The 12,421-nt window shown below is 42.1% G+C and overlaps 1 protein-coding gene and 1 long non-coding RNA gene across 5 annotated transcripts in view; one reads left to right on the forward strand and one right to left on the reverse strand.

The window, feature by feature from the left end:
• TACR1 (tachykinin receptor 1) overlaps positions 1-12,421 on the reverse strand; it is a 153,058-nt gene that overhangs the window by 96,712 nt on the left and 43,925 nt on the right. The gene's annotated exons all lie outside the window — the stretch shown is intronic.
• TACR1-AS1 (TACR1 antisense RNA 1) overlaps positions 11,144-12,421 on the forward strand; it is a 125,490-nt gene continuing 124,212 nt past the window's right edge. For all 3 annotated transcript variants that reach the window (NR_168009.1, NR_168010.1, NR_168011.1), the window contains exon 1: positions 11,144-11,397. This is a non-coding gene — a long non-coding RNA (TACR1 antisense RNA 1). The remainder of the gene's footprint in view (positions 11,398-12,421) is intronic.

Genomic DNA, 12,421 nt, shown 5'->3' on the forward strand with positions numbered 1-12,421 from the left:
GTGCAAGCGAGGACAGGGTTAGAGAAAAGGTAGAAAGCAGGCTGGATCCTGATTGGCCTTGCTGATACTGCTAACAAGTTTGAATTTTACTTTTTCTTGACATATTTTCATTTCAAAACATTTTTGACCATGTTTTCTTTTCAAAAACATTACTTTAGAACTTCTGGAACAAGATGGAAATATGACTCTTCCAGCTTTAGCTCTTGTCTTCCTTCCATTGAAATGTCCAAAGAAATTTATAAAAAAAGAAAACATCAGGGAAGGATGCCTTCTTCGAACCAGAAGTATTGGCACTATTTTGCATTGGTTAACACTGATCGAGCATTACTGTGTGTAGGCATTGTCTGAAATGTTCAGCATCTATTAGCTAATTGAGTTTTCATGGTATTCCATAAAGGAGGTGCTGTCACTAAGCTGCACTGATGAGCTATTATTGTCCTCCTGTTACAGATGAAGAAACTATGGCACAGGGAAGATTACTAACTCCAACGGTCTCATGACTAGTGATATTAGGTTGGTGCAAAATAAAAGCAAATTGGCAAAAACCGCAATTACTTTTGCACCAACCTAATAGTATTTGGACCCAAGGAGACTGGCTCTGGAGACTGGACGCTTACTCACAGCATTGTATTGCCTGATATATTGTGAAATGTGGTGCTAGTGGCCTGGATTGACTGATGAGCCCACTGCCCCCAATTCTGTGCATATGAAGGAAAAGTTGATTCAGGCAGTGGGTGAACGGGGTACATAGTGTAACCTCCCTAACTTCCAAGCGTGTAGAGGGAATATTCTAATGCTGGTACATAGAACAAAGGAGGAGGATCAATTCCTCACCTGCTTAGCAGTGAAGCTCCCTGCCACAGGACTGTTTTCCTTGGTAATTATTTTCCTAGTTTCCACGATCATGGGGAACTTTAACTTGGCACAAATGTTCCTAACTTTCAGCCGTAGGGTCCAGACTCCATGGGGCCACTACTGGGACAATAAGTGTGGTCTTACATAAGTATACAGAAGTTCAGTGGGAGCTGATCGATGGAGCTCCCTGGACTGGAGAGGTGTGATAATTAAAGCGTGGGCACAGCCTGTGGGCTTCTGAGATAAAGTGGACTTCACGATAGACTGGAAGGAATCCTTCAGCACAACATGAGTTCTCTTTGGTGCAGATGCCTTTCACTGTGGCCTCTTCCTGCTCCTCACAGCCAACTATGTTGCCACAAACTGAAGCTGCAAATTTATCTTTTTCTTTTTCTTGGATATAAGATTTGAATAAGCATCCCCACAGCCTCATAGAGAAATGATCCTAACTTGGAACCATGGACATACAGTGCTTTCTCAGGAAAGATGGATAAACAGAAAAATCACTGGGTCTATGAAATGATTTAGCAGTTTGAAGAAACTCATCCGAAGAATCAAAGCAAATATTTTCCACTAAAAGAAGCTTATTCCAAAAAGTGAGACATAACCAAAAAGAAAACTGATTCATATTATCAATGAGACTTGAGATTCAAGCACTCATTCTATCCACAACTAACAAACTGATATCAGAAATATTACTGTTAAACATTTAAAAAATTAAATGTGAATTTATCTTATAAATTTGTGAATTCAAATTTTAAATTTCAAATTTTTAACTGGAAGTGGTAGCAATGAATAACAGATTGGATAGCACAGAAAATGACACTGATGATTTGAAAGTCCACTTTGAGGAGTTCCCCAAAAACCAAGAAGCAAAAGATAGAGATGAATATAATATGTAAAATATAAGAGATATGAGGGGTAGGTTTAGGAGATAAAATAGAGTATAGTAGGAATTTTAGAAAGAAATACAATAATCAATACATTTGGAATGTATTAACACAGCCTGAGCGGAATAAGATTTTAAGTTAAATGGATCCTTTCTAGAAAAAGCATTACCATAAAGATGATTCACTGTTAATATCATTTATTGTATGATTAGATCAAAAGAGAAAAAATTTATAATCATTTCTTTGGATGACTAAAAGACATTTAATAAAAATGTATCATCACTTCTAATATAAGATAGAAATAGAATAATATGTCTTTAATTAAATAAAGTGTATATATTTTATTTAATGGTGAAAATATCTTAAATGCAATGATGAAAAATAGAAGTGGTCTGTCTGTGAGTCAGAAACTATGGTAATGACCATTATTATTAGTAGTAACATTGTTCTAGGAATGCGAGTCAATGCAACTAAGACAAGAAAAAGGAATAAGATATAAATAGTGTAAAGTAGGAGATAACTATAATTATTGTAGATGATAGCTTATCTAAAAAACCAAAGAAAATCAACTGAAAAACAAGACAAATTCAATTTCAGAATGCTGCTGGTTTCAAAACAAATGTGTTAAAGATCAATAACTTTTCTATATAACAGCATAGCCATTTACATAATATAATGGAAATAAGTTCACAATGGTCATGAGAGTATATAATATCTAGACATAAACACGTACTGAAATATGTGGGACTTATATGAATGAAACTGTCAAATATTCCTTTACTAAAAGAAATAGAAATTTGAGTAAGCAAAGAAGCATTACATGCTGCTGAATGGGCAGACCTAATACTGCACTGTTGGAATACTCTAGTACAGTCACTTTTAGGTGTGTGGAACTTGAGGTTCTTATTGCAGATCCAGGTGGAGAGGTGCAGAAAGTAGATGGGATATATATTTTGAATTCCGTAGGGAGATTTGAATTACAGATCCAGCGACAGAGATGTGGGAGTTACTATTGTAGAGTGGTTGGAGCCATAAGATCTCCCAGAACACTGTGGGGAATGCAAAGAGAAAGTGGCCAAAGATCAAATCCTAGAGAATATTAACATTCACAAGGAATGCCAGGACAGAGCGGGCAGTAAAGGAGGGGTGGTATAAGACATAGGAGGAAGGCATAAAACCAGGAGAGAGAAGAACCTTTTTAAAATTTTTTTTCTATTTTTTCAGATGGTGTCTCTCTCTGTCGCCCAGTCTGGAGTGCAGTGGCGAAATCTTGGCTCACTGCAACCTCCACGTCCCAGGTTCAAGCAATTCTCCCATCTCAGCCTCTTGAGTAGCTGGGATTACAGGCATGTGCCACTATGCCTGGCTAATTTTTGTATTTTTAGTATACACAGTGTTTCACCATGTTGACCAGGCTGGTCTCGAACTCCTGACCTCAGGCGATCTGCCAGCCTTGGCCCCCCAAAGTGCTGGAATTACAGGAATGAGTCACCATGCCCGGCCAGCAGCATCTTAGAAACCAAAGAAGACAGCCTCAAAAGGTAGGGAGTAGCCCATGTGGTCATTTGTTACAGAGGAATCAGGCAAGATAAGGATGAAGAAGAGTCCGCTGTATTTGGCTTCTAGGAGATTACTGGTCACAATGGCAAGAATAGCTTTAATTCATTGCAGCTGTGGGGGTACCAAAGTGGAGATGAGGATTATTGCGTTACTTGTGATGCTAATAACCATAGAGGAGCCAGCACATGTGGAATCTACTAGTTACTGAGTGAAGTCACCAAACCCTAATGAGTCTCAATTTCCTCATCTATAAAATAGAGTTGCAGTTGCAGTAAAAAAGTGTGATAATGACTGTAAAATGCTTTTTAAACTATAAACCACTATACAAACAGATGGCATTATTTTTGGTTCTGGTGATCTTCCAGGCAATATTTTAACATGAAATGTGCTAATGATGATGGCACTGAAATAATGGCCTTGAACAATTTCCCCATCACTTCTTCTGTGGTCCCAGTGTTTCATTCCAGGATGGGTTCTGTAACCCTTTTAACACAGAAACACAATCTGCTGTGTGCATTTACACTGATGCAAACTAAGCTGCTGGGGGAAGTCAACTGATCTGAAATGTTTTGCAATACTGTGCATTGTTTCAGCCATCAGACGGTGAGTAGGATTCCTGTTCCAGTCAAGTTAGGTGGCAGAATATTTTCCTGTTTGTCTAAGCAGATGCCAGCACTTAAATAAACACCATGTTCCTTCCCAGAATTTAGCTGGAAAATGCCCCCACCAAAGAGAACCCTGAGATGCTTGGCACATGGCCAAAACCAGCTAACATTTCAATTTTCCTTTACTCCTATTGTGTGGCCATAGGGCTGATATTTCCCCAGAACCTCAGTGGGAACATTCCAGTGACAACTACCAAGTGGTCATAACATAATGGGTTTATCCCCACATTCCTTTCATCCTTTATCCATCCCTATAAAGTGTATTTTTAAAAATTTTTATTTTACTTTAAGTTCTGGGATACACGTGCAGAATGTGCAGGTTCATATATGCGTGCCATGGTGGTTTGCTGCACCTATCAACCTGCCATCTAGGTTTTAAGACCCGCATGTATCAGCTATTCGTTTTAATGCTCTTGCTCCCCTCCTGCTCCACAGGCCCCAGCATGTGTTGTTCCCCTCCCTGTGTCCATGTGTTTTCATTGTTCAACTCCAACTTATGAGTGAGAAAATGCGGTGTTTGGTTTTCTGTTCCTGTGTTAGTTTGTTGAGGATGATGGCTTTCAGCTTCATCCAAGTCCCTGCAAAGGACATGATCTCATTCCTTTTTTTTTTTTTCTGATACAGAGTCTCCCTCTGTAGGCCAGGCTGGAGTGCAGTGGTGCAATCTTGGCTCACTGCAACCTCTGCCTCCCCAGGTTCAAGCGATTCTCCTGCCTCAGCCTCAGGAGTAGCTGGGAGTACAGGCATGTGCCACCACACCTGGCTAATTTTTTGTATTTTTTTAGTAGAGATGGGGTTTCAACGTGTTAGCCAGGATGGTCTTGATCTCCTGACCTCATGATCCACCCATCTCGGCCTCCCAAAGTGCTGCGATTACAGTTGTGAGCCACCACACCTGGCCGATCTCATTCCTTTTAATGGCTGCATAGTATTCCATGGTGTATATGTACCACCGTTTTTTAATCCAGTTATCATTGATGGGCATTTGGGTTGGTTCCATGTCTTTGCTACTGTAAATAGTGCTGCAATAAACATACGTATGCATGTATCTTTATAGTAGAATGATTTATATTCCTTTGGGTATATACCCAGTAATGAGATTGCTGGGTCAAATGGTTTTTCTAGTTCTAGATCCTTGAGGAATCACCACACTGTCTTCCACAACGGTTGAATCAATTTACATTCCCACCAACAATGTAAAAGCATTCCTATTTCTCCACAGCCTCTCCAGCATCTGTTGTTTCTTGATTTTTTAATAATCACCATCCTGACTGACCTGAGATGGTATCTCATTGTGGTTTTTGATTTGCATTTCTCTAATGATCAATGATGTTAAGCTGTTTTTCATATGTTTGTTGACTGCATAAATGTCCTCTTTTGAGAAGTGTTTGTTTATATCCTTTGCCCACTTTTTGATGGAGTTGCTTGTTTTTTTCTTGTAAATCTGTTTAAGTTCCTTGTAAATTCTGGATATTAGACCTTTGTCAGATGGGTAGATTGCAAAAATTTTCTCCCATTCTGTAGGTTGCCTGTTCATTCTGATGATAGTTTCTTTTGCTGTGCAGAAGCTCTTTATTTTAATTAGATCCCATTTGTCAATTGCAGCTTTGGTTGCAATTGCTTTTGGTGTTTTCATCATGAAATCTTTGCCCATGCCTATGTCCTGAATGATACTGCCTAGGTTTTCTTCTAGGGTTTTTATGGTTTTGGGTTTTACATTTAAGTCTTTAATCCATCTTGAGTTATTTTTTGTATAAGGTGTAAGGAAGGGGTCCAGTTTCAATTCTCTGCATATGGCTAGCCAGTTTTCCCAGCACCATTTATTAGATAGGGAATCCTTTCTCCATTGCTTGTTTTTGTCAAGTTTGTCAAAGATCAGATAGTTTTAGATGTGTAGTGTTATTTCTGAGGTCCCTGTTCTGTTCCATTGGTCTATGTGTTTGTTTTGCTACCAGTACCATGCTGTTTTGGTTACCGTAGCCTTGTAGTATAGTATGAAGTCAGGTAGCATGATGCCTCCAGCCTTGTAGTATAGTTTGAAGTCAGGTAGCATGATGCCTCCAGCCCTTAGCTATACGGGCTCTTTTTTGGTTCCATATGAAATTTAAAGTATTTTTTTCTAATTCTGTGAAGAATGTCAATGGTAGTTTGATGGGAATAGAAACGAATCTATAAATTACTTTGGGCAGTATGACCATTTTCACAATATTGATTCTTCCTACCCATGAGGATGGGATGTTTTTCCATTTGTTTGTGTCCTCTCATTTCCTTGAGCAGTGGTTTGTAGTTCTCCTTGAAGAGATCTTTTATGTCCCTTGTTAACTCTATTCCTGGGTATTTGATTCTCTTTGTAGCAATTGTGAATGGGAGTTCACTCATGATTTGGCTCTCTGCTTGTCTGTTGTTGGTGTATAGGAACATTTGTGATTTTTGCACATTGATTTTGTATCCTGGGACTTTGCTGAAGTTGCTTGTCAGCTTAAGCAGTTTTTGGGCTGAGATGTTGGGGTTTTCTAAATATACAATCATGTCATCTGCGAACAGAGACAATTTGACTTCCTCTTTTCCTGCTTGAATACCCTTTATTTCTTTCTCTTGCCTGATTGCCCTGGCCAGAACTTTCAATACTATGTTGAATAGGAGTGGTGAGAGAGGGCATCCTTGTCTTGTGCCGGTTTTCAAAGGGAATGTTTCCAGTTTTTGCCCATTCAGTATGATATTAGCTGTGGGTGTGTCATAAATAGCTCTTATTATTTTGAGATATGTTCCGTCAATACCTAGTTTATTGAGAGTTTTTAAGCATGAAGCGGTGTTGAATTTTATCAAAGGCCTTTTCTGCATCTATTGAGATAATCATGAGTTTTTGTCACTGGTTCCGTTTATGTGATGGATTATGCTTTTATTGATTTGCATATGTTGAACCAGCCTTGCATCCCAGAGATGAAGCTGACTTGATAATGATGGATAAGCTTTTTGATGTGCTGGTGAATTCACTACAAACTCTATTTGTTAAGCATTATGAAACACCAGACACTTTGCCAGGAATAAGGCTTAAAAAGGTGAATGACATTGAATTGCCCTTGAAAAGCTCAGAATTTAGTGAAAAAGAGAAACATGCTATAATTTAATTACAATTTGGTGAGGTAGGAACTTTAATAAGCATATGCTCTAATACGGTTTGGCTGTGTCCCCACGCAAATCTCAACTTGAATTGTATCTCCCATAATTTCCATATGTTGGGAGGGACCCAGGGGGAGGTAATTGAATCATAGGGGCCTGTCTTTCCCATGCTTTTCTTGTGATAGTGAATGAGTCTCATGAGATCTGATGAGTTTATCAGGGGTTTCTGCTTTTGCTTCTTCCTCATTTTCTTTTGCTGCCACCATATATGAAGTGGTACCAGTGAATCTCCTGCCATGATTGTGAGGCCTCCCCAGCCATGTAGAACTGTAAGTCCAATTAAACTTCTTTTTCTTCCCAGTCTTGGGTATGTTTTTTATAAGCAGTGTGAAAACAAACAAATACAATAAACTGGTACCAGTAGAGTGGGGCATTGCTGAAAAGATACCTGAAAATGTGGAAGCGACTTTGGAACTGGGTAACAGGTAGAGATTGGAATAGTTTGGGAGGGCTCAGAAGAAGACAGAAAAATGTGGGAAAGTTTGGAACTTCCTAGAGACTTGTTGAATGGTTTTGCCCAAAATGTTGATAGCAATATGGACAATAAAATCCAGGCTAAGGTGGTCTCAGATGGAGATGAGGAACTTGTTGGGAACTGGAGCAAAGGTGACTCTTGTTATGTTTTAGCAAAGAGATTGGTGGCATTTTGCCCCTGCCCTAGAGATTTGTGGAACTTTGAACTTGAAAGAGCTGATTTAGGGTATCTGGCAGAAGAAATTTCTAAGCAGCAAAGTAATCAAGAGGTGACTTGGATGCTGTTAAAGGCATTCAGTTTTATAAGGGAAGCAGAGCATAAAAGTTTGGAAAATTTGTAGTCTGACTATGCGATAGAAAAGAAAAACTCATTTTCTGGGGAGAAATTCAAGCTGGCTGCAGAAGTTTGCATAAGTAGCAGGGAGCCTAATGTTAATCCCCAAGACCATGGGGAAAATGTCTCCAGGTCATGTCAGAGACCTTCATGGCAGCCCCTCCGATCACAGGCCCAGAGGCCCAGAAGGAAAAAGTGTTTTTGTGGATCTGGCCCAGGGTCCCTGTGCTGTGTGTAGCCTAGGGACTTGGTGCCCTGTGTCCCAGCCACTCCAGCTGTGGCTGAAAGGGGCCAATGTACAGCTTGGGCTGTGACTTCAGAGGATGCAAGCCCCAAGCCTTGGCAGCTTCCACATGGTGTTGAGCCTGCAGGTGCACAGAAGTCAAGAATTGAGATTTGGGAACCTTTGCCTAGATTTAGGAAGACGTATGGAAGTACCTGGATGCCCAGTCAAAAGTTTGCTGCAGGGGTGGGGCCCTCATGGAGAAACTCTGCTAGGGCAGTGTGGAAGGGAAATGTGGGGTTGGAGCCCCCACACAGAGTTCCTACTGGGACACTGCCTAGTGGAGCTGTGAGAAGAGGGCCACCATCCTCCAGACCCCAGAATAGCAGATGCACCAACAGCTTGCACCATGTACCTGGAAAAGGCTGTAGACACTCAACACCAGCCTGTGAAAGTAGCTGGGAGGGAGGCTGTACCCTGCAAAGCCACAGGCATGGAGCTGCCCAAGACCATGGGAACCTACCTCTTGCATCACTGTGACCTCGATGTGAGACCTGGAGTCAAAGGAGATCATTCTGGAACTTTAAAATTTGACTGCCCATTGGATTTCAGACTTGCATGAGCCCTGTATTGTTTTGGCCAATTTCTCCCGTTTGGAATGGCTGTATTTACCCAATATCTGTACCCCCATTGTGTCTAGGCAGTAACTAGCTTGCTTTTGATTTTACAGGATCATAGGTGGAAGGGACTTGTCTTGCCTCAGATGAGACTTCGGACTGTGGGTTAATGGGTTAATGATGAAATGAGTTAAGACTTTGGGGGACTGTTGGAAATGCATGATTGGTTTTGAAATGTGAGAACATGAGATCTGTAGGGCCCAGGGGCTGAATGATATGGTTTGGCTGTTTCCCTACCCAAACCTCAATTTGATTTGTATCTCCCATAATTCCCACGTGTTGTGGGAGGAACCCAGGGGGAGGTAATTGAATCATGGGGGCCAGTGTTTCCCATGCTGTTCTCATGATAGTGAATAAGTCTCATGAGATCTGATGGTTTTATCAGGGGTTTCTGCTTTTGCTTCTTCCTCATTTTCTTTTGCCGCTGCCAAGTAAGAAGTGTCTTTCACCTCCCCCCATGATCCTGAGGTCTCCTAGCCATGTGGAGCTGTAAGTCCAATTAAACTTCTTTTTCTTCCCAGTCTCAGTTATGTCTTTATCAGAAGTGTGAAAATGGACTAATACATGCTCCGAGGCTGAGAGTTAAAGTGTCAGATGTCTGATTCCTTCTAAATCTGAAAACAGGAAGCTTAACAGTTGGTACATAGTAGATGCTCAATTAATGCTTAATAAATGATTGATAAATATCACTAAACAGGTGTATAGATCACAGCTCTCTTAGTCACCCCAATGCATTCCCATTAGAGAAATTCACTGCTAAGGGGTTGTTCCTTAGGAGAATAGACTGTACACCTCACTCTACCATTTCTAGTGGGTGGATCAAAGGCTATTAATTCCAAAGAAAGATGGGGCCAAGACTTCTTTTTTGTTTGTTTGTTTGGTATTTTGTGAGACGGAGTCTCATTCTGTCACCAGGCTGGAGTGCAGTAGCGCAATCTCGGCTCACTGCAACCTCTGCCTCCTGGGTTCCAGTGATTCTCCTGTTTCAGTTTCCCGAGTAGTGGGACTACAGGCGTGCACCACCACGCCTGGCTAATTTTTGTATTTTTTAGTAGAGATGGGGTTTCACTATATTGGCCAGGCTAGTCTTGAACTCCTGACTTTGTGATCTGCCCACCTTGGCCTCCCAAATTGCTGGGATTACAGGCGTGAGCCACTGCACCAGCCTAAGACTTCTTATAAGAGTTCTTTTAGGCAAAAGCTCAGCAGAGGGCAGGGTAGGAACAATACACAATCACCTTGACTGAGTCTAACAAGATGCTATGGCAAGAAAGCACAGGAATTGTCAGAAATCTTTTCTGAAGGCATCCAAGCCTCAGTGGGATGTTATGAAAGACTGCTTCTCAGAAGATAGTCCTGACACCTAAGTGGGTGACTGAGCTAGAACCAGCTACTCACTTGCTGAGAATTATTGACCTCTCTTGTGAAATGTCAATATTGACTGACTGCACTCTGAGCTGTGCTGTTAAAGGCGTTCAGTTTTACAAGGGAAGCAGAGCATAAGGTCTGATGTCTCTTCCAGATCTGATGACCTAAGATTTGTTTATAGGATCAGGAAAAAAACCCATTAAAATACATCTCTTAATTCTTAGAGTATTATTGAAATTGTGTACAACTTGGAGAGAAGCAATGGCAAAACTTCTGAAATTCACCTGGCACATTCCCTGTTTCCTTCCATGTGGCTGCTAACCCTTTTAAGTTGTGAAGACAGAGGATCCAGGTGGACCAACCAGGGATGCAAAAGGGAGGAGGTGGTTTTAACTCCTGTGTGCAAGGATTTAATTCCTCACGTATCCTCTCTTCCTATTCAAGCTAATTCCAGGTCATCAGTGTACTCTAAGTATTCTAATCAGATTCATTAAATTTTTTTTCCTGGAATCACTGATGGTGGGCAGCACTATTGAGCTTTATTCAGGGTGTGGGACTGAGGTCTCTCCATGAGGCCATTCACTTTTGATAAGGAAACTGGCCTCACTATAGGAGTTCAGTAAAGGCCCAGCTTGCTGGCTCACTGATTAATTGAAGGGCGGGGGTGTGGGGCTTGCTGTGCACAACTAAAGTTCACTTGGATGCCCCCCTCACTGCCCAAAGCAATGCTTGGCCTACAGGAAGCTGAGCCTGCTGCTGCCTTCCTCCCGGCTCCTGGCTCCCTCGGGATCTGAACACTCAGGGTCATGCTGTTGCTGCCCAAGCAGGAAAATCCTGTTTCTGAAAATCCCAAACAACAAACAGCTCCCCTACAGAGCTCATGGGGGAGTAGTCAGAACCTCCAGACTGAGCATGTCACAAGGAAGGACTGCTTTGCTGAAGCCACTCACTCCGGGAGATTTATAATTGGAAGTTTGGCCCAGGGAGATAATCAGCCAAGAGCGCGCACGCACACACACACACACACACACACACACACACACACACACACTCTGAAGAAACCCAGTGGAGATTCAGCACTAACCCACCACACACACACACACACACACACACACACACACACACACTCTCTGAAGAAACCCAGTGGAGATTCAGCACTAACCCAGCACAGGTGAGTGAGAAATTACAACCTGTCAGCCAATGAGCCATGGTGATTCCCTCTGAAGAGGGTTTCCCAGCTATCATTCCCTTTCATCCCCACTGTAAGTTAGGCCCTCGTGCATGTTGCCTGGACTGTGGCTGGAGTCTCCTAACTGTCTTGTCTTCTCTGGGTTTTCTGGCCCCAGGTCTCTCCCTGTCTATCTACCCTGCATCCCTGCTGCTGTTGGAAGAGTCCCCTAAAAGACCTTCTCCACAGCACTGCTTAGCTCCTGGTACTCCCTTATCCCTCCTTTCGGCCCATCCTCTGCCACTGGCTTCCAAGTTCGCATTTGGCCTGCTCCCTACCTCAGTCCTGGGCAGTGAGGCAGGAAGCTGCCTTTCTCCTCCAGATGAGTCTGTGCTCTGCCTCTCTCCTTTGCGTCTCCAAATTCACACTGAGCATGAACATCTCTGACCTCACCTTTTCAAACCAAATGAAAGGGCTGCATAAGGACAACTTAGTTTATTTTGGAAGGCTGTTACACTTTGACCTCCATTTAAAAAACAAACAAAAAAATCTAAAAACCCCAAAACGTTGAGGGACTGTTCCCAAGCCCCAGCATCTTTGCCCCATCCTCAAGCCTTCCAGGACCCTCTCTCCATTCTTGGGATTGCAGCTCCTAACGTAGTTCTCCTCTTCAGCTCAAGGACAATTCTAACTGTCTTCTTGCCTGGTATGGCTTAATGAGCCTCAAGCTCACTTAGCATCATCTGGATTTAATTTCCTCTCTTGCCGTGAGCAACCTTGGCTCATCTTTCTGCCTCTCTTCTCCTCTCCTCTTTTTCCTGTCTCCCCCTCCCTTTGCTTACATGCCCTTCTTCCCCCTTTCTCTCCTCTCTCTATCTCTACCTCTCTAATGTCCACAAGTGCCTCACAACTGCCCCATTCAACCCCCACCTGAGTATCACCAGCTCTTCTGGTCCAGCTCACCTGTAAAATCTCTATTCCATCCAGAGAGGCCACCATCTCCTGTTCTAAGGGTCACATAGCTCAG

This window comes from Homo sapiens, chromosome 2 (assembly GCF_000001405.40).
Source record: "Homo sapiens chromosome 2, GRCh38.p14 Primary Assembly".
NCBI classification, from domain to species: domain Eukaryota; kingdom Metazoa; phylum Chordata; class Mammalia; order Primates; family Hominidae; genus Homo; species Homo sapiens.